General features: G+C 42.8%; 1 protein-coding gene across 4 annotated transcripts in view; it reads right to left on the minus strand.

The window, feature by feature from the left end:
- The window catches only part of TIMD4 (T cell immunoglobulin and mucin domain containing 4), a 43,935-nt gene that overhangs the window by 7,377 nt on the left and 13,756 nt on the right, over nt 1–22,802 (minus strand). The window contains exons 5-6 of one of the 4 annotated variants that reach the window (XM_011534694.3): nt 21,748–21,831; nt 20,511–21,652 (exon numbers count right to left, since the gene is read on the minus strand). The exons of 2 other annotated variants lie outside the window; for them this stretch is intronic. In XM_011534694.3, coding sequence (XP_011532996.1) covers nt 21,597–21,652; nt 21,748–21,831 — 140 coding nt within the window. In that variant the 3' untranslated portion in view covers nt 20,511–21,596. Of the gene's footprint in view, nt 1–20,510; nt 21,653–21,747; nt 21,832–22,802 lie in introns of those variants that run through there. One more of the 4 variants, NM_138379.3, reaches the window with a different exon arrangement.

The raw sequence follows: 22,802 nt of genomic DNA on the forward strand, positions 1-22,802 counted from the left end.
ACCTATTATAGGCCATGCAGTGTGATAGCTATACCTTGGACCTCATAGAATTTACAACTTAGTGCAGAAAATGAAATGTAAAAATGTAATGTAAATAGTTGAAAACATAATTAGTTACAAGTACACAATTCTGGGAAAAATACAGTATAAGGGACATATCATGAGGATGCCAGGCTTGTTCTGGAGGGTCAAAGAAAACTTCCTTGAGAATGGGAGTTTATGCTGAGAGGTGGAGTCATGTATTCATAATCTATAGTTGAGTTACAAGGGAACCATACTGAGAATCTACCAAATGCTAAGCACTGTTCCAGGCACTAAGAATACTGTGAGACTGCGGCATGGCCCCTACCCTCAAGAAATTTACAGTCCATTAGAGAAGAGAGACCGAAAGATGATTTCAGCCTAACAGGCCAAAGGTAGTGATGGAGCACACAGGCTGCTGGAAGGGCAGGTAGAGGGAGAAGCATTCAGCTCAACTTTGTAGTTCATTGAAAGTTTTATTAGAATAAAGTGTCATGAGGACAGAGTCCCTGTCTGCTTGTTCACTACTGAGACTGTGATACCACCTCACATATACTTGGTGCTCAATAAATGTTTGTTGAATAACACTTCTGAGTTAAGGTCGTGTAAGAATTAGCCAGGCAAGGAATGGTGGCAACGGTGTTTCAGGTGGACAGAACAGCATCAGCAAAGCTGTGGAAACAAGAAAGAGCATGGTGCCCATGTCAGATGGCAAGTGGCCATGAAGAGGTGAAATGAGGGGTGGTAGCTGCAAGAGATGAGACAGGTGAGCAAGAGCCAATCAGGGAAGGCCTTTGTTTCCTGATGGTAAGTCTCCATTGGATTCTGTAGGCAATGGAAAACCACAGAAATGTTTAAGCATGATATGGTCCAGTTAGGAGGATAAGGGAAGAGCCAAGAAGAGAGTTGTCATCTAATTCCAGGTCTGAAATTCAGAGCTAGTAAAACCAAAGAGAGAGAGAGATTTCAGAAATGCTTAGAAGGCAGAACAACAGGATATGGACATTGAATGTGGGGGTAAGAAAGAGAGAAAAGTCTTTGATACCTCACCAGTTCCTACTTGAGACACCTGGCCATGGCCTGAGCTGTCCACTAAGACTGAGAACAGGGGAAGGAGTGGAGAAGGGTAAGTCTAGGGGAGAAAAGTGATGAGTTCACATTTACAGTCACTGAGTGACCGTGGGGCACATGCAAGCACAATTCCCCTAACAAGCAGTTGATGCATTTGAATCTAAATCAAACTCAGGAAAAAAAGGGTGCAGTTGGAAATACTGATTTGGGAGTCATCAGTATCCAGGGAGCAGTTGACCCCCTCAGAGTATATAAGAAATCTGGCCCGGGCACAGTGGCTCATGCCTGTAATCCCAGCACTTTGGGAGGCCGAGGTGGGCAGATCAAGAGGTCAAGAGATCAAGACCATCCTGGCCAATATGCTGAAACTAAAATACAACATACAAAAATTAGCTGGCATGGTGGTGTGCGCCTGTAGTCCCAGCTATTGGGGAGGCTGAAGCAGGAGAATCGCTTGAACCCAGGATGGGGAGATTGCAGTGAGCCGAGATTGCCCCACTGCACTTCAGCCTGGCAACAGAGAGAGACTCCATCTAAAAAAAAAAGACAGAAAGAAATCCATGGGCTGCATGTTCAGAGAGAAGAGCAGGGATCCTGGAAAACATCAGCATTAAACAGTAGGCAGAGGAGGTGGAGGAGAGAAAAAAAAAGAGAAGAAATGGTCAGAGAGATCAGAAAGTAAGAGCAGTATCAGAAGCCGGGGCAAGGAAGAAAACATCCAGGAGGGATGTAAAGTCATATGTACAATAAAGTCTTAAAATAGAAACAGAACTTAAATAAAACACACAGGGAGAGGTCCTGGATATAATAAATACCTAAGCTAATAATTAATGAAATTGATCATTGTTTCCCCAGAGCTTCCTTTGTACTTAAGGCAAAAGGATAAATGTGGTAGATTTTGTAAGGCTCATAATTTGGTATCAGAGAGCTGATTTGTTCATCAGGAAAGTGACTTGTTAAATGTCACTAGGAACAAAGGGGAAATTCAGCATGTTTTCATATCCTAGAACTAAGTTATTGTTGTTTTTCTCTCTGCAATTATCCCCTAGAGCTGAAAATTGCAGGTAAGAATTCAAAACTCCTACCCTTGTTCTGTCAAAATCCTGTTGTATTACAATCATTTGTGATGAATAAGCCTGAAATTGAAACTATCAAACAGAAAAGCCAGCCTGGGTCAGTTTTGTCAGAGCTAATCTGTATTTTAAATTGGAATCGTCCAATGGGAGAGACATTTTGCAAACACAAATGCTGCTGCGTGATACCAAACAGCACTTTTTTCTTTCTTCTTCTTCTTCTTCTGAAGATGCTAAAAGCCCAAATGGGAAGCACTCCAAGGGCTACAGTGTCATACACAGAATGGCAACACTGAGAACAAGTTGACTGTGATTTTTCTTCCTTGTGAAAAGTAGCCATGCCAGTGGCAAGGGGATGGGGTTAGACAAGGCAAAACTACTGATTTCCAGGTTGTCTGTGTTCCCCCAGCCCTTAGATTCTCAAGGCCCTGAGCTCTGACACATGTACATTGAGACAAAGGCAGGAGCCTCCCAGAACTTGGGAGTAAAGCAATTCTGCAAGAGGGAAGTATAATGAGTAGCATAGTATCACTACCCCCTCTCCCCACCAAATCACATCCACCCAGAACCTCAGACTGTGACATTGTTTAGAAATTGTGTCCTTGCAGATGTAATTAGTTAAGCTCTTGAGACAAAATCATTCTACATTTAGGGTAGGCCCTAAATCCAATGATTGGTGTCCTTAAGAGAAGGGGTCACAGAGAGACACACACAGAGAAGGTCATGTGAAGACGAGAGAGATGGGAGTGATGCTGTCATAAGCCAGGGAATCCCTGGAGTACCAGAAGCTAGGAAGAGGCAAGGAAGGGTTCTCCTTTAGAGCCTCCAAGGAGAGCATGGCTGTGCCAACCCCTTGATTTGTCAGACTTCTGCCCTCCAGAACTGAGAGAGAATGAAAATTTCCGTGGTTTTAAGTTTGTGGTACTTTGTGTTACAGCAGCCCCAGGAAATAAATTCAAAGGAATCAACACACAAAGAATGAAAGCAACCTTAAACAGGGGTAACCAACCTAAAAAAAAGTCAGGAAGTGGGTGCTGAGCACAGGTAAGAAGACTAAATCCAACGAAAGATCCTAGTATTAAACTCCAAAGAGTATAAATCTAATGTCATATTGTTATTAAAATTCCATTGAACATTATTTATTTATTTATTTTGGAGACAGAGTCTCGCTCGGTCACCCAGGCTGCAGTGCAGTGGCACGATCTTGGCTCGCTGCAACCTCCGCCTACCAGGTTGAAGCGATTCTCATGCCTCAGCCTCCCAAGTAGCTGGGATTACAGGTATGCACCACCAATTTTTTGTATTTTTAGTAGAGACAGGGTCTTGCTATGTTGCCCAGACCAGTCTCAAACTCCTGGCCTCAAGTGATACGCACGCCTCAGCCTCCAAAGTGCTGGGATAACAGGCATGAACCACTGCACCCAGCCTCACACTGAATATTTAATCCTCACAAGCAACCCTATGAGACAGACATTATGCCATATTGCCAGTGAAAAAAATGAGGCCCATGGGGTTGAGCAATGTGATGGAGGTTGGACAGGTGGTAGTTGTGGAGCTGGGATTTGAACTGTTTGACTGACATAAATACCTATACTGTTAACAACCTCATTATGCTGGAGTTCAAGTGCCTTGTACCATATAAATAGCATGTCCTACTGACAGAAGAAAGGAATGTTCAGGACAGTGATTTGCACTGAATGTAGAAAAAGGATAGTTTAGGACAGTGGTCTCTAAAGAGGGCTCGGTACTCACCATGAGTGTAGCAGGCAATCCACTGGCTGTGGGGAAAATGACAACTTCTATTTACATTTATTTATACCTTATCTTTTAAACATTTTCCAGAAGGATATATTTCATAATGTACTGAACAAATTGGTAAACAAATATAAATAAGCATCTTAATAACAAGAATACATTATTTTTCATCAGAACACATTATTAGTCTGGTCTAGAGAAGAAGGAGTCATTCATCTCTCAAATGTAGTTTGGAGACTGTGGTCAGCAAAATAATGACACCCAAATATGTCCATGTCCTAATCTTCAGAAACTGTGAATATGTTCTCTTCCATGGCAAAAGATATTTTGCAATGTCATTAAGCTAAGGATCTTGTGATGAGAAGATTATCCTGGGTTATCTGGTGGGTCTCATGTAATTACAAGGGTCCTTATGAGGAGGTGGCAAGAAAGTTAGAGAAGAAGTCAGAGGATGTGTGATAAAGGAAGAAGAGATCACAGAGAGAGAGAGATATTTGAAGATGCTATGCTGCTGACTTTGAGGATGAAGGAAGGAGTCACAAGCCAAGGAATGCCTCTAGGAGCTAGAAAAAGCAAAGAAACAAATTATCCCCTAACAAATCCAGTATGAATATAGCCCTGCCAACACCTTGATTTTAGAGCTTCTACCCTTCACAACTCTGAGATAATAAATTTGTGTGTTAAGCCAGTAAGTTTGAGGTCATTTGTTACAGCAGCAACAAGAAACTAATACAGAGACAGTGGTTCCTAAGACCTTCCAAAAGAACAGTTGTTCTGGGACAGGCACAAGATATGAAAGGAAGATTGACTTTTCATGTTAACATTTTTTGCATGCTTTGTACTTTTTCCATGAGTGTGTATGATGTATCTTAAATTAATTAAAATTTAAACATTAACAAAACAATCTTAACATTAACTCCACTTTTCCTGGGTCCATGGATTCACCAAACCTTCTGGTTAATATTAGATGTTTCTATAGGATGAGAATACATTTACAGGAGGATTACAGGTTAGATCTCTTGGCAGCTAGAATTCTTACTGTAAGTTAGTAAATTGGCTTTCTAGCTTGTATTTTGGTCTCTTGAGTTCTTGGTAGGCATGGGCACTCTGGTAAAATGAAATTCCTGTAACACTTAACCTTAGATCTTGGAGTATTGCCAAGGGCTTGCCCCTCAGCCTTCCTCACTGTGGCATCCTGGGACTCTCTGCCATCACTAAGTATTTATGTCAACTTTCCTGGCTATGCGACCTTGGCTAAGATACTTTCCTTCTCTGAGCCATAGTTTCTTCATCTGAAAATATTAATATTTCACCAACTGATCTCCTATATCCTTTTTAACCTTTCTAATTCTGGATATCTTTTTTCAAAGAATTTTACTGAGAAAAATTATCATTACACAGTATTCTTTTAAAAGGATATAAAACTACGCTTAGTATAGGGAATGAGTATGCAAATACTTAAAAATACATACAGAAATACAATTATGTATTCTTAAATATTTGCATACTTATTCCCCAAAGAAAACTAAAAAGAAACATAAAGACTAAATACACCTGCTTTCAAGTAGAAATATCAAGACAATTAAAATTATTCTTCCTAGTACCATTTTAATTTTGTCTAATTTCTAAATTTTCTCAAATGTGACTTTTCAATGGTAAAATATTATTTGTATCATGTGTTCATCACTGGAAACTCCACGATGCTTGAGGCAAGAGCAAACTCTTGGGGTGTTTATCATTTCCCTGAAGCAGCGTCAAAGCGACCTTCTATGTGAAACTTTGAAGACAGGTGTTAGAAACCCAGTAACCCACAGCCAAAAAAGGACACCCTCCAGATCTAAAAGTACTGACATGGAAAGCTGCACAATAGATATATACTGCTTGTTTTTTAAGTCCAAAGAATTTTTAACAGTAAGTACATATAAAACCCAACAAAGGCCTGCGAGGGTTAATATACTAGTTAATTACATTGTGCCAGTGTCAGTTTCCTGGATTGGACAATGTTCTATAGTTAGGTAAGATGTGATCATTGGGGGACACTGGAGGAATATATAGGAGAACCTCACTGCACTATTTTTGCAAGTTCTCGTGAGACGAAAATTATTTGAAAACAAGCATTAAAGAAAACGGTTTAAGGGCTGAATGCAGTGACTCACGCCTGTAATCCCAGCACTTTGGGAGGCCGAGGCGGATGGATCACCTGAGGTCAGTTCAAGACCAGCCTGGCCAACATGGTTAAACCCTGTCTCTACTAAAAATGCAAAAATTAGCCAGGCGTGGTGGTGGGTGCCTGTAATCCCAGCTACTCCGGAGGTTGAGGCAAGAGAATGGCTTGAGCCTGGGAGGTGAAGGTTGCAGTGAGCTGAGATCGTGCCACTGCACTCCAGCCTGGGCAACCGAGTAAGACTCTGTCTCAAAAAAAGAAAAGAAAAGAAAAGAAAAGAAAATGGTTTAAATATCAGCCATTTCACATTGTTCTATCGAATATATGAATGGTATATAGCAGCTTTGTGGTAAAGATTTCTTGAATGAAACTAATGAAATTTAAAGTGAGTTTAAAAGAATATAGAATGATTTTGAAAAGAAAAAATTGAAAGTTTTTGTGAAAAACAATAATCTATTGTTATGAGGAAAATTAAAAAGACTGGGCAAGGGTGGTGACTCATGCCTGTAATTCTAGCACTTTGGGAGGCCAAGGTGGAAGGGTCGTTTGGGGCCACAACTTTGAGACCAGCCTGGGAAACATATCAAGATGCTCTCTCTACAAAAAATTTTTGTAACAAATTAGCCAGGCATTCTAGGCTGCAGTGAGCTATGACTGGTTCACTGCACTACAGCTTGGGCAACAGAGTGAGATCTCGCCCCCCAACCCCCCCCCAAAAAAAGCTGAAAAGTGAAAGGATATAGTCCAAACTGTAACAGTGATAATCTCTTTATCTGTTCATGGGTGAGAGTGTTGTTTTGTTTTGTTTTGTTTTGTTTTGTTTTGTTTTGTTTGAGACAGAGTCTCACTCTGTCTCCCAGACTGGAGTGCAGTGGTGCGATCTTGGCTCACTGCAACCTCCACCTCCCAGGTTCAAGCGATTCTCCTGCCTCAGTCTCCTGAGTGGCTGGGATTACAGGCCCAGCTAATTTTTGTATTTTTGGTAGAAATATGGTTTCATCATGTTGGCCAGGCTGGTCTCAAACTCCTGACCTTGAGGAGCTGTGATCCACCCACCTTGGCCTCCTAAAGTGGTGGGATTATAGGTGTGAGCCACCGTGCCCGGCCCTTTCTGGCCCTTTACGGAAAAAGTTTGCAGATCCCTATTGGTCTACTGGTGCAAAAACAACCCCCATGGTATCAAGGAATTAATTTAATTGTAAGAGCCTTCAGAAGTTAGGGTAATAATAGACTTCCTTTTCAACATGGCTATGCTTACCGTGGTACACCAGAACCTGCTTTGTCACTTAATTAGAACTGTGCTATGTGCAGTTCTGAAATGGCATTACAATTTTAGACAAGAAGATCTTTTAAGAATCCACTTTTAATATCATCCCCGTTCCCATCCTATTCATAGAAACTTGCTTTAAAATTAGCAGAGACTTCCTCTTTGAATACATTTATTGAGCTCTTACTATGTGCCAGGCACAGTTATAAGCACTTTGTATAAATTATAATTTTTTAAAAACCTAGAGACAGGGTCTTGTTCTGTCGCCTAGGCTTAAGTGCAGTGTGCAATCAGGGCTCACTGCAGCCTCAACCTCCCAGGCTCTGGCTCACGGTATCCTCCCACCTCACCTCTGCTTCCCAAATAGCTGGGACTACAAGTGTGTGCCACCACACCTAGCTAGTGTGTGTGGTTTTTTTTGTTTGTTTGTTTGTTTTGTTTTGTTTTGTTTTGGTAGAGATGGAGTTTTGCTATGTTGACCAGGCTGGTCTCAAACTCCTGGGCTCAAGTGATCCTCCCAAGTCGTTCTCCCAAAGTGCTGAGATTACAAGTGTGAGCTACCATGCCTGGCCAAATTATCACATTTAATGTTCATAAACCCATTTTACAGATGGTAAACTGAGGCTGAAAGAAGTTACATTGATTGCCCAAGGTGACACAAACAAAGGAAATTTGAACCCAACTCTGAATGACTCAAAAAAAAATGTTCTTAACGAATCTGACAGAAAAGAAAAAAAGCATATTATAATCCTACTTGAAAACACAAATTCTCGAATGAGTGAGCTTCGAGCCAGAAATCAACGGAAAAGAAGAGCACTCTGTCTTCTCAGTGGGTGCATTTTAAAACAGATATCACATATGTTGACTCATCATTGAATTCATAGATGCTGGGACTCATCTGTCCTATGTTTAAAACAAAATTAGTTCTGAAATAAGTCAACTCAAAGATACAACTTCAACGCAATCCTAGAATTTTAGAAGTGACAAGTGCAAGCCTTCAGAGAACAGTTTCTTTTCTTTCATGGGTAGCCTCGGGCTTACGCTGCCCCCTGTGGATCATGGGCGATATGGTCTTAAAAAATCCAAAAGAGCAAAAGAATCCAAAAATCACAATCTGAATGTTTAAGAGTTGGGAGGGATTTGAAATTGTCTCCTCCAATTTCTTTTTTTTTTTTAATTTGTCAAGAGGGAAGCTGAAATCTAGAGAGAAAAGTTCATTTGCGCAAGATTTTACAGTAAATAACAAAGGAAGGGACTACGTATTTTGCTGACCTCTACTCAGAATTCATATTTTCTGACCTTTCCCAGCAGCACTAATACAAATCCGGAATTTCAAAACTCCTTTTGAAAGTGGAAGCACACATTTATTGAATTCGCATGCTTGCTTCAAATTCTAAAGGACTTTACATGTTTTTATACACTTAAATGAATATATACACTGAAATGAATAAATCAACAGAGCATTACATACATCAGTCAGGCGTTCCTTAGTTCCAAGGGAAGAATTGGGTGGGGTCCATGTTGGTAATTTTGAAAGAGAACAGAGAGCAAGTTCTGTTGGCACCCAATGTGGTTCAGAAAGAGAAAGAAATGGTGAGATACTGTCACATTTCACGCAGATTAGGTAGATAGAAGGAAACCAGGGATTCTAGAACACCATTGTTCAAGAGGCACCTTGGTTCTGAACCTTGGCCTCAACCTTCCACTAGCAACAAAATCTCATCAACCTTGAGACACCCTAGCAACAAAATCTCATCAACCCTGTGAGAGCCTAGAGTCACCTCCTTAGGCTTCTGTTCTCATGTGCCAATAGCTGAGGGTCTCAGTAAAGCACAGATAAGACCTCATTCCTAATCCTTCATCACTGGACTCTCCTCTGGAGGGCAATGTCTAGCACTGGGCTTTGCCCACATTAGCTGATCAATAAATCTTCAATGAGACCAGGCACGGTAGCTCATGCTTGTAATCCAGCGCTTTGGGAGGCCGAGGCGGCCAGATCTCTTGAACGCAGGAGTTCAAGACCAGCCTGGGCAACATAGGGAGACACCATCTCTACAAAATAAAAAAAAATTAGCTGGGCATGGTGGTGCATGACTGTAGTCCCAGCTACTCAGGAGGCTGCGGCAGGAGGATCGCTTGAGCCCAAGAGATAAAGGCTGCAGTGAGCCATGATCACACCACTGCACTCCAGCCTGAGCTGCAGAACGAGACCCCATCTCAAAAACAGAAATAAATAAATTAACTAATCTTGATTGAGGGAGGTGGGAAGATCTGCATTTGACCTAAAACACTCAGAATTATTGATAACAACAACAATAATAATAAATGGCTACCATATACTGAGCACTTACTGCATGCCAAGTACAATGTGAAGTACTTCTCATGTTCTTAGTTAATTCTCAGAAAATGCTCGTCAGTAGTTCCCATTACTGCCCTCATCTCACAGTGGGAAACTTGTGGCCTGGAGAGGTCAGGCAACTTGCTCAAGTTGCATAGTAGGAAGGGACAGAGCAAATCTTGGAGCCAGGATCATTTAACTTCAAAGCCCAAACTCCTATCCTCTGGGCTCTATGGACTTTGGAAAATGTGGCAAGATGAGTGCTGGAGAGTGAATACAATGGGAAGAGTGGCTCACGCCTGTAATCCCAGCAGTTTGGGAGGCCGAGGTGGGCAGATCACCTGAGGTCAAAAGTTCAAAACCAGCCTGGCCCACATGGTGAAACCCCGTCTCTACAAAAGTACAAAAAAAAAAAGAAAAAAAAATTAGCCAGGCATGATGGCGGGTGCCTGTAATCCCAGCTACTCAGGAGGTTGAGGTAGGAGAATCGCTTGAACATGGGAGGCAGAGGTTGCAGTGAGCCGAGATGGCGCCCTTGCCCTCCAGCCTGGGTAAGAGAGCGAGACTCCGTCTGGAAAAAAAAAAAAAAAAAAAGGAAATGAAACCCCAGTCCTGTACCACCTGGATGGGTACAGTTTTTGGAAAAGAGATTCTAATAATCATTATTATCGATGATTATTATTGTGAGTACAATGTAAGCATCTGAAAGTGCACAAAGCACTTTCACATACATTATCTCATTGGAGCTTTAATATGAGTCTATGAGCTAAGTAAACTTGGGCAGACTTATTGAAAGAGGAGGAAATGAAAGCTCTGAGGGGTCCATATCTTGCCCAAGGCTGCATAGCTAATAATGAGAGCTAGTGAATGGTAGGGCAATGACATCTGATTCCAGGTTCCACTTCTTTTCCTCTCTAATATACTGCTGAGTATCACAGGGTTCAACAGCCCCCAGTTACAGATGGTAGATCTTACCAAAGGGCGTTTGTACCTTTATTTATTGACTTGTTTATAGGGCAGAAAACAGAGAGAGAGACCACACTGCAGAACACACTGAGGTTTACTCTTTTATTCTACCCGCTGTGAAATCAGAGACCTCTCCAGTGCCTAGAAACCCCTCCCTGGCTCTGCATCAGAGAGATGTTTTGGCCTACAGAGGGGCCACCCAGCTCAGTTTGTTAGCCATCAATGAGGACCTATCTCGGGGCTGGCTTTGTGTTCTATTTCAACAGCTCACCCCTTATTTCTTTTTCACTCTTTGTTTGTCTTACATGGACATACCTCTTTTAAAGCTTGGCAATTCTCTTTGATCTTATTTGGTTGACATTTCTGAAGGTGAGCTGTTAGATGCTAGAATTACATGGATTCAATTCCAATGTTATTAATAAAAAATTGTACAGTTGGTAGACTAGAATGCTATTGTGAGAAAAAATAATAAGAATCCAATTTTGTCTTTTTCCTTTATCCCCCAGCCGGGCTACCAACTGATTCAAGTCTGTGAACAGCACTGGGCATGAGAGATAAAACAAATCTGTTAATACCTCATGAAAGATGTTGACTTTGAAATCAAGTGCATCCAATTTCTTTCTTCCTAACAATGGCATTGGTGAGTACAAATGTGGTTTCCTTCATTCCTCTGCCTTTCTCTGTTCCTTCTGCTGAACTTGCACTGAGAATGGCAATTCCTCCTACAACTTTTCCATGCCCTTGATCAGCGAAAGGCTCAGAAAATTGTCAGGTTCTGACAGGGCTCAATTTTATCTTTACTTTATTAAAATAGTGCAATGTAGGGCAATGAGCTCTAATTTGGGAGCCAGAAGAGACTCCTACCTAAGGACGAGTGCTCACTCCTCTTTAAACTTTTTAAATGTCTCTGTGCCTCAATTTCCTTATTTGTAAAATAAGGAGAGTGTACTATACTAGGAATTCCTAACTGCCTTCTTGGGACCAGGGCTGTGGCTTCAAAAGACTCATCTGAGGTTTGTTAAACATATGATTTCTTGACCCCACTGCCAGAGGTTCTCATCTGCAAGTCTTGGGTACACTAAGGAGACCTATATTTTTACTAAGTTCCCTGTGATTCCAGCACATGATCAGGTCTGGAATTCATGGATTAGATAATCTCCAAGTTCAAGGTCTTGCTTCCCCAGTCTTCTCCCACCTCCTAGAGGTCAACACGAGATCTGATTGTTCTCACACCTTCATTTGTTCTCTCCTCACCCTCTTCTCTCTTATCTCCACGTCTAGATCAAACCTACCTCTGCCATGTTTGACTGCATCCTCCTATGCCATGCCAGAATACATCTTGCTCGTTCAGCAGCTCCTTCCTTCTCTACCCTGCCTTCCCTCTAAATTTCTTGAAAGAACGTCAAACATTCATCCTCTAGCAATTGCTCATTTTGGGATTTCATGGAGTCCGCCCACAGAGCTCATACTCTCTGTTCACTTCATGGTGACCCTGCTGCAGTACACAGCCACCTCTCTAAATGCCTCATTCCAGAATTTCCTAATCTTTAACTACAGCCTCCCTAGGCTTTGCCAGCCCAGCTTCCTCGGCCCTTGTGTGCTTATGCATCCCATTCTAATTCTGGTGTCTTCCTGTCTAGCTCCTTAGCTGGCTTAGGAGTAGCTCCTTAGTTGGCTTTTCTTCCTCCACCACAAGCTCCCCCAGTGTACTGCTCCTTTGTGGGGAGGGAGTCTCCCTTTGCACCTCTTCACCTCTCTCTTCATCTCACACAATATCTTTAGGTGATTATACAGGAGCTTCCATTATCCCTCCTGTGCTAATGAGGCAAGACAATAAAGTGTGTAAGAGCTCAGGTTCAAGCACCAAAGAGACCTGGGATTCAAATTCTGGACAATTTTTTAACCTCTTCAAGCCTTAGTTTTTCTCCTTTATCGTGGACCTTATAATAGAATCTGCCTCATAGATTCAGACAATTGCTCACAATGAGACAATGCACTAGACACGTTGAGCCAAGCCTTGGCATATAATAAGTACTCAGTAAGTGTCATTTATGAGCAATGACCTCCCAAATTATATCCTTAGTCTTGCACTACCCCTTTTGAGAGAATATACATGAAAGTATTGGTATACTGGCAAGTCTTTATTTAGCACTTATAATGTGAATCAGTGTAGTAATTATTTTGACCAGATATAAGTGCCAATTAGCAAAGACACCCACCCAAGCATCCATGAGTCAGCCCAGACCCACACTTTCAACTGCCTGTTAGACACTTCTGAGGCATTTCAAACTCAAGATCTCACACACAAACTTAACTCTTCCTCATGGAGCTGCTTTACCAGTTAACCCACACATTGACCCATTCTCCCAACTGCAGAGAATTAGCCGTCCTTCATTCTCCATTTAGGCCACCAAGTCTTCTGACTCCTAATTGCTAAATGGCTGTTACTCCGTCCCCTCTCTATTGTTGTTGCTGCTATCATTCTAATCTAGACACTCATGCTTCACCTGAAGTATTGCAGGAGACTCCAGCCTTACTCCCATCTAATACATCTTCCACACCCTTGCCACAGCAATTTTTCCTAAAACAACTGAAAATGCCATTCCCTACTCAAAAAACATGAACCCTCTCCCTCTGCCTCTCCGTCGTCTCCGTCTCCCGCTTTCCACGGTCTCCCTCTGTTGCCGAGGCTGGACTGTACTGCCGCGATCTCGGCTCACTGCAACCTCCCTGCCTGATTCTCCTGCCTCAGCCTGCTGAGTGCCTGGGATTGCAGGCGCGTGCCGCCAGGCCTGACTGGTTTTTGTATTTTTTGGTGGAGACGGGGTTTCGCCCTGTTGGCCGGGCTGGTCTCCAGCTCCTGACCTCGAGTGATCTGCCCGCCTCGGCCTCCCGAGGTGCCGGGATTGCAGACGGAGTCTCACTTACACAGTGCTCAATGTCGCCCAGGCTGGAGTGTAGTGGCGTGATCTCGGCTTGCTACAACCTCCACCTCCCAGCCGCCTGCCTTGGCCTCCCAAAGTGCTGAGATTGCAGCCTCTGCCCGGCCGCCACCCCATCTAGGAAGTGAGGAGCGTCTCTGCCTGGCCGCCCATCGTCTGGGATGTGAGGAGCCCCTCTGCCCGGCCGCCCAGCCTGGGAAGTGAGGAGCGCCTCTTCCCGGCCGCCGCCCCGTCTAGGAAGTGAGGAGCATCTCTGCCTGGCCGCCCATCATCTGGGATGTAGGGAGTGCCTCTGCCCCGCCGCCCCGTCTGGGATGTGAGGAGCGCCTCTGCCCGGCCGCCCCGTCTGGGAGGTGAGGAGCATCTCTACCCGGCCACCACCCCATCTGGGAGGTGAGGAGCGCCTCTGCCCGGCTGCCCCGTATGAGAAGTGAGGAGCCCCTCCGCCCGGCAGCCGCCCCGTCTGGGAAGTGAGGAGAGTCTCCACCCGGCTGCCCCATCTGGGAGGTAGGGGGCACCCCCGCCCGGCAGCCGCCCCGTCTGGGAGGTGTACCCAACAGCTCATTGAGAAGGGGCCATGATGACGATGGCGGTTTTGTTGAACAGAAAAGGGGGAAATGTGGGGAAAAGAAAGAGAGATCAGATTGTTACTGTGTCTGTGTAGAAAGAAGTAGACATAGGAGACTCCATTTTGTTCTTTACTAAGAAAAATTCTTCTGCCTTGGGATGCTGTTAATCTATAACCTTACCCCCAAGCCCCTGCTCTCTGAAACATGTGCTGTGTCAACTCAGGGTTAAATGGATTAAGGGCGGTGCAAGATGTGCTTTGTTAAACAGATGCTTGAAGGCAGCATGCTCGTTAAGAGTCATCACCACTCCCTAATCTCAAGTACCCAGGGACACAAACACTGCGGAAGGCCGCAGGGTCCTCTGCCTAGGAAAACCAGAGACCTTTGTTCACATGTTTATCTGCTGACCTTCTCTCCACTATTGTCCTATGACCCTGCCAAATCCCCCTCTCCGAGAAACACCCAAGAATGATCAATAAATACTAAAAAAAATTAAAAAAATGAACAATTCCTCATGACTCTGAAATAAAATATAAATTCTTTAGTCGATCATACAAGCCCCTTAAGAACCTAGACCATTACCAGCTTCCTATCTCTATTTTTGGATTAAACCAGACTGTTAAATAATCACCAAAGACATCATGCTTGTATTACATTTCTCCGTCTTTGCTCATGCTGTTCTTCCATCCTGTTGGCTCTTCCCTCCTTAATAGCATTTTCTCCTTGAAGAACCAATTCAAAGGTCAATGAGTAAAATCAGCCCTGACCCTGGTCCTCATTTTCATTTTCACCTCTTCCATCTTTGGGCCCCAGTGTGCCTTTTCTTACCTCTATCTCAAAGCAGAGCTCACTAAAGGATGGTTTGTTATGCACAAGCCTGTCCATCCCACTAAAGTGTGATCCCTTTAAAGAAGAAGGCCATGACTTACTCATTTTTACATGTCCTATGCCACATAAAGTGCAACCAAATATATTACCTACTGTCATATATCTAAACCAAATGCCAGAGTTACAAGGTACAGATTTAAAATTCCATGTGCAACCACATATCCCTCTGAGCATGCCTTAACTCCATGGAAAGGCCAGCTTGTTTTGGACCTTGAAGCTTCAACTGGCTTTGCAAAATAAAAAGATACAGTAATAGAAAAAAATGTTTCTAAACTCATCCCTAACCCACTCCCCCATATTCTTGTCCCTGGGACCAAGAAATAACTACTGTTAAGTATCGCAAGGAAAGAAAAATGTTGTTATTGTCAGAGCAATCTTCATTTTTCCCAATTTGAATATTGACAGCAAAGTCCTCGTGTGTTTTTCAGTGCATTCAACTTGAATTTGTGCTACAGTTTTTGACTTCCTGCTGATTACAGGTATAATGATTCATTTGGGGCACAAGAAAAGTGAAACCTCATATGTAAATAAGGAACCTGCCTTCAAGAAAGCTCTGTTGAGAAACAGTGGCTGCCCATCTGGGAACAAAGACCAACTCTGCACGGGGTCAGGACCACTGGCCTCTTGCCTTAGCTCTCTTCCTAACTCACTACAAGCCTTCTCTCAATTCCCTGGCCTTCTCTGGGTCTCAATTTCCTATCTTCTTAGTTTCCCAGCATTCTACAGACAAGACTTCCCCCCTACATCCCCTGGAAGTTCATAGACACAAGTTTAAAATCCCTGAAATGCGGATGTGAGTCCCAGTTCTCCCTCTGTCTAGCTGTGTGACCTTGGATAAATCATTCTACATCTCTGAGCCCTATATCTGGCATCCAGAGAGTGGAGATTAGAATTTGCCACACTAAGTAGGGCTTCTTTGGTTGATATCTGCAGACCAGCCACCTAAAAATTGGAGGAGAGCATTGAACTAGAAGACATGTACACAGAGTTGCTTTGTAAAATAAATAACACAAACCTGGAAGCATTAGAATGGCAAACTGGACCACAGCTCTTTTTCAGCTGTAACTTGATTCTCAAGCCTAAATTATAGAGTGGAGCCTCAATAGATTGAGCAACATGAGAACAAAACAACTGAGAGGCAGTTGAAAATTAAAGATATTCACCCACAGGAATAAAACCAATAATTGAGAGTTCTACATAGCCATCTAAACAGAGGTCAGTGAAAAGCTTTCAGAATCTCAGATTTATTCTAATACTGAGAATTACTACTATGAGATTGTAAAAGCTTTTGTAACTTCTCTGGGTTTGTGATTTTGTCACTCCTCAGCTGTTTCCCTAGTGTGATTAGTAGTTTAAAAAAATCATAAAACTGGAAAGTATCTATATACTGATCAGGAACAGCCAGTTATTTGGGAGCTGGCAGAAGTGGCCTCTTGTTACCCTGCTGGACTGCCTGAAAATGAAGGTTTGTGATCTGGAATAGCAGCAGAGATGTAAAGAAAAGAAAAAAATAGAAGTTCTTCCTAATGACTATTATTTACAAGCCAGTAATTATGTACTAGGCATTTTTCTCATGCATTTTCTCACTTAACAGCCCTATACAATAAGTACTACCGTTATCCCCATTTTACATTTTGAGGAAACTGAGATTCAGAAAAGGATAGAACAAATAACTCACCTGAGATTCTACAAGAAAAACAAAAATCTCACAAAATGGCAGAGGTAGGATATAATCAGGAGCCTTTGCACTCCCTGACTCAACTCTTTCAACTCCCACCTAATGCCACCCAACAGGCTATGAGAAGAAAGGACTAGAAAGAAAGGATAGGGATTTGGGATGTTATAGAGGCAGTGAACATGAGCCTGAGATACAATCAGTAGGGAACTTAATCCCAGCCCACCTGATTTTATTTAGGAAATGGCATAGTTATGTAGCTTTTTATGCCCTGGCTTTGGAGTCCCTACCCAGTAGAGAGGAGGCCTTTTGGGAGAAACTGGGGGCCATTTCACACATTCCTGCTACCAAGCAAGAAATAAAATTAATCCCAGCTGGGTGCAGAGGCTCACACCTGTAATCCCAGCACTTTGGGAGGCCAAGGCAGGTGGATCACAAGGTCAGGAGTTTGAGACCAGCCTGGCCAATATGGTGAAACCCCGTCTCTACTAAAAATACAAAAAAAAAAAAAAATTAGCCAGGTGTGGTGGTGGGTGCCTGTAGTCCCAGTTACTCAGGAGGCTGAGGCAGGAAAATCGCTTGAACCCAGGAGGCAAAGCTTGCAGTGAGCCGAGACCATGCCACTGCACTCCAGCCTGGGTGACAGAGGTGAGACTCTGTCTCAAAAAAAAAAAAAGAAATAAAGAAATAAAATTAATCCCATAGGCGAAAAGTATGATCAGAGTTCCTAGGTATCTTGAGGTATGAGTTTGTATCACTCTAATAGATTTGGGGGGAGTGGGACCTATGTCATATTTTCATGTGAGTTGTTACTGTTGTTTTATCTGTTTGTGCTTGTACTTGTTACTGAATTATAGCTCCTAGCCATTTGGGGTTTTGTAGAATATTTAGAGAATTGAATGAAAGTCCTGGACTTTGCCCCAGAAAAATGTGTGTGCACACATACATACAATTATGCATATCATTTCAGGAGGGTCATGCCCTTCCTGCAAGAAGCTCATCTACAGATATCCCCCATCCAGGAGTCCTCAGACACAGTTTAAAATCTCTAAAAGCTGGGTATGACTCCTAGCTCTCCCGCTGTTCAGCTGTGTGATCTTTTTTTTTTTTTTTTTTTTTTTTTTTGAGACGGAGTCTCGTTATTTCCCCCAGGCTGGAGTACAGTGGCGCGATCTCGGCTCACTGCAAGCTCCGCCTCCTGGGTTCACACCATTCTCCTGCCTCAGCCTCCCAAGTAGCTGGGACTACAGGTGCCCGCCACCACGCCTGGCTAATTTTTTGTATTTTTTAGTAGAGACGGGGTTTCACTGTGTTAGCCAGGATGGTCTCGATCTCCTGATTTCGTGATCCGCCCACCTCGGCCTCCCAAAGTGCTGGGATTACAGGCTTGAGCCACTGTGCCTGGCCTCCCAAAGTGCTGGGATTACAGGCTTGAGCCACTGTGCCTGGCCAGCTGTGTGATCTTAAGACAAGTCACTCTACATCTCTGAGCTCCATTCTAGGCAGCCATAAAGTGGAGGCAAGAAATTGCTACCCTGGGTCATGCTAATTTTAGAGAACAATGATTGACAAGACCCTCTTTAAGGATTTAAATCAGCCCACAACCACAGAAGCTTTGCCATCGAAAATTACATGAAAAAATGGAGAGGGAATTGTGGATTGTTAGCCAGAGAAAGAAAAACCCACAGAAGCCTGTAGGCCCTCTGAAGTGGGTTGGAAGGGTTTTCATGTGAATGAAGATGTAGTCTTATTCTGTAAGAGGCACCAGAGGGGAGACCAGGAGGAAGCAGAGTGGCACGGTGTTAGAGTGATCTGGAGTTGAAAAGACGTGGTTAAATCCAGGTCGGCCATTTACCGGACAAGTTTTTAATCTTCAAGGGCTCTAAAATGGAGGTGAGGAGATAATGGTACCCATTTCTTAGGAATGTGGGGACAATCAAAAGAGATAATACATGCAACGTGCATGGTGTTAAAACAAGGCAGACCTACAATGGTAGGTGTTAGCTTCCCTAATAAAGTCTCTGACCCTCCATTTCTTTACCTATAAAATGAGGATAATATCTGTAGCTGCCTAGGAGGTTGTTGTGAGATTCAAATAAGAAAATTAATGCAAAAACGCTGAGCACAGTACCTAATGCATAGGTAAATCCTCGGTGGATGTTAACCACAATTATCACTATGAATGTTTCATTACCAAAAAAACAGTGGGAAGAGAGGAAGTAGGGAGTGAAAGAATTTTATTTCTATCTGTTTTCATGTACCCCTAACAAAAAAGCATGCGTGTAATGTTTGTGTAATTTAAAATAAATGAATAGTAGTTAAAAGAATATGACTTTTAATTTCAGATTAGAGAACCAGATAAAATAAAATGATACCTAAAGAGTGTAGAATCAGAGCTAGACATCCCAGACCTGACACCTGAGAGCTGTGTGGCCTTGGGAGATTTTGATAAAACAAAAATATGAGCATCTGCTAACGAGGGATTAAATGAAGTGGCCCAGGAAGATGGCTTGACACAGACCTAGAACATAACACGTGCGCAATAAACCCTGCTTTTCATCCCTAATGACTAAATGTTCCATAGAGACTGACTGGCCTTCTTACACCAAGCTCCTCTTCACCAGAGCAGCAAGTGTTCTCTCTTCTGGGATTTGGTCAAGGAGGAGAGAAATGAAAACTATAAAGAAGCTTATGGAAGGTAAACATCACATGACCTCTTATTCCCTTGTAATTCAATGTAAAATAGTCCAAGATTTAAATGGAATAAAGGATGATGGTGTTAGAATGTTCTCCCTACTTTCCATCACCTTTCTAGTCACTGTCATCTCTTTCTTTGTCAGAAAATAGTCCCCCACCCTTACCCCATCCCATAGACAAAGAGGGTTTGGATCTTTGGCACCCCATTTCCCTTAAATTATCAACTCCTAATCCAGATTTTCTGTTTTCCCACTGTATGAGTTAGTGCAGGCCAAAGCGTCTTAATATCAGGGCCCCCTCGCATTTCATCCTAAGTTACAGTCTTACTTCAAAACCTATCCCCTTCCATTCACTCTTGTCTGTTTCCTCCAACTCTGAGCTTTTTTTTGTTTGTTTGTTTTGAGACGGAGTCTCACTCGTCGCCCAGGCTGGAGTGCAGTGGCACAATCTCGGCTCACTGCAAGCTCCGCCTCCCAGGTTCACGCCATTCTCCTGCCTCAGCCTCTCGAGTAGCTAGGACTACGGGCGCCCGCCACCACGTCCACCTAATTTTTTTGTATTTTTTTTTTTTTAGTAGAGACGGGGTTTCACCATGTTAGACAGGATGGTCTTGATCTCCTGACCTCGTGATCCGCCTGCCTCGGCCTCCCAAGGTGCTGTAATTATAGGCATGAGCCACCGCGCCTGGCCTCTTCTGAATTTTTGAGAGTGATGCTACATTGTCTCCTTCACAGAATTAAATGATGCCTGTTTCCTGGCTAATAAACATATAGAAAGGAACTCAAACTCTCTGTTAATCAGGATAAGAAAAGAACAAGATGGGCCGGGCAAGGTGGCTCATGCCTGCAACCCCAGCACTTTGGGAGGCCGAGGCAGGTGGATCACCTGAGCTTAGGAGTTCAAGACCAACCAGGGCAACGTGGTGAAACCCCATCTCTACTAAAATACAAAAAATTAGCCAGGCATGGTGGCATGTGCCTGTAGTCCCAGCTACTCAGAAGGCTAAGGCACGAGAATCACTTGAGCCCAGGAGGCAGAGGTTGCAGTGAGCGGAGATCGCACCACTGCACTCCAACTTGGGCTACAGAGTGAGGCTCTGTCTCAAAAAAAAAATAAAATAGAAAGAAAGAAAAAAGAAAAGAACAAGATGACATTTTCTTCTCATAAGATTGAAAAAGTTAAACAAACAGTCATATCAAGTGTAGGGAGAATATGGGAAAGCAGATACTCTGTGGGTGGAAAAATAAATTGGCACAGCCTTTTCTGAGAACATTTTTCTACAAGCTATTAAATTTAAAGGTGCACATTTCTTTTAACCAGCAATTTTTACTTTTTGGTCACCATCCTAACTACAGAAACACTTGCATGAATGGTTAGGGAGGTATGCATGTGCTAGGATGTTCACTGCAGCACTGTTTATAAAAAGGAAACATTGAAACAACCTAAATGCCCCTCAATAGACAAGAAATACTGTGAGTACTCATAATGTGAAATATTACACAGCAATTTGACATGTATCTACATAGATTAAAGAAGAAAGTGGTCCAATATATAACAATAAGTGAATAAAACAAAATGCAGAATGCTGCATATAGCATGATAACATTGTCTAAAGACATGCACAAAACTGAACTATGTATTTCTATAGCTATGTAGACACATAAGGGAATGGAAAAAAGACCTAGAATGATCATCTTCAACTAATAACAGTTATTATCTCATGGCAGGGGGCTGGGATTGAAGACAAGGAGTGAAAGAGAATTTTATTTCTATCTGTTTCTATGCACTCCTAACAAAAATGCATTAGTGTGACATTTGTGTAATTTAAAATAAAAAAACAAAATTTGAAATATGAATAGGTGGTTTTCCTACTATCATTCCTGGCATAAGGTCAGCAGTTGCTAAGGAAGAAGGAAGATTTCAACAGAGGGACTTCAGAGATGAGCAGAGGAGAGGAGAAGCCAGCACTGATGCTTGCAGCATGTTTTGCTTCCACTCCAGCTGGCGGGAGGATGTGGTACGTGGCCACGAAGGAGCCAGAATAGTTGAATCCCAAGACAACCAGATAGATGACAGATTGTTTCCACATCCAAAGACAAGCCACTCATGAGAACACAGCCCCAGGCCAGGCAAGCTGGCTCTAGAACTTTGAGAGGCCAAGGCAGGAGGATCACTTGAGGCCAAGAGATTTGAGACCAGCCTGGGCAACATGGTGAGAACTCATCTCTACAAAAAAAAAAAAAAGCAAGATTCTGTCTAAAAAAAATAATAATAATAATTAATAAAGTAAAATAAAATAAAAAAAATCACAGCCCCCCTACCTCCAGGCTGAGGAGAAGACACAGAATCACTCGTTTTCCACATTGACACGTGGGATGTTGATGGGAGATCCCAAACTTTGGACTCTTTGGAAAAACAAAGGAAAACAGAAAACAGACTTAGGTAAATGCTTGTCTTCCTGCTTTTGGTACTCAACTGTCCCTATACTGACTTCTGTCATTGAAAACAAAACAAAACAAAACAAAGTATGTGCCAGACACTGTCTTAAGTGACCTACATGCATTCTGTCATTTAATCCTTAGAAAGGTGTAAACACAGGATAGGTGTTATTCCCAGTTTACCAGTGAGGAAACTAAGGCCCAGAGAGATTAGGTAGCTTAGCTAAAATCACACAGCAGGAAAGAGGCAGGATTTGTGTTTAGGCAAAGTGAAGCCGGAGCACCCACATAAATCACTCTATCATACTGTGTCCCTGTGCTGTACTATCACAAACGCTGACTTACTTACCTTACAGATGTCTGTTTTCCCTTGCTAGATTATTAGCTCCATTATGGTAACACCTCCCATGTGAGTGCTTACAAATGTGCCAGGCACTCTTCTAAGTCCTCACATGCATGAAGTTATACAACTCTACAACAAACCTAGGAATATAAACTGAGGGCAGGGACCCCCAGCAAAAAGGAATAGAACTGGGAGTCAACCCCAAGTGCTCCTCTCTAGCACCCCAATCGTGATGCCAATCGTGTCTTATTTCAGGGTATACCCCGTCCCAGGCCCCAGTAACTACCTAAAGAAGTTTTGATGGGTAGATGACAGGATAAATAATGAAAGAGTGACCAATTCTCGCTCCACTCTAAAAACCCAATGCATTGAATTAGTAAACCCCTCAGCAGTCTCAACAAAGAAGATTTGCGTGCATGAAATCAGAATGAGACAGCTAAGTGCTACTTAGCCTAGAGTCTAAAAGCAAACATCCTAGAGATGTACCATGAGCTACTGCAGAGAATTGCACCAATCAAGAAGGGTCTTCCTTTTCCCTACCTCCCTCCTCCTCCTCCTCCTCCTCCTCCTCCTCCTCCTTCTCTCTCTCTCTCTC

This window comes from Homo sapiens, chromosome 5, assembly GCF_000001405.40.
Source record: "Homo sapiens chromosome 5, GRCh38.p14 Primary Assembly".
Lineage (NCBI taxonomy): Eukaryota > Metazoa > Chordata > Mammalia > Primates > Hominidae > Homo > Homo sapiens.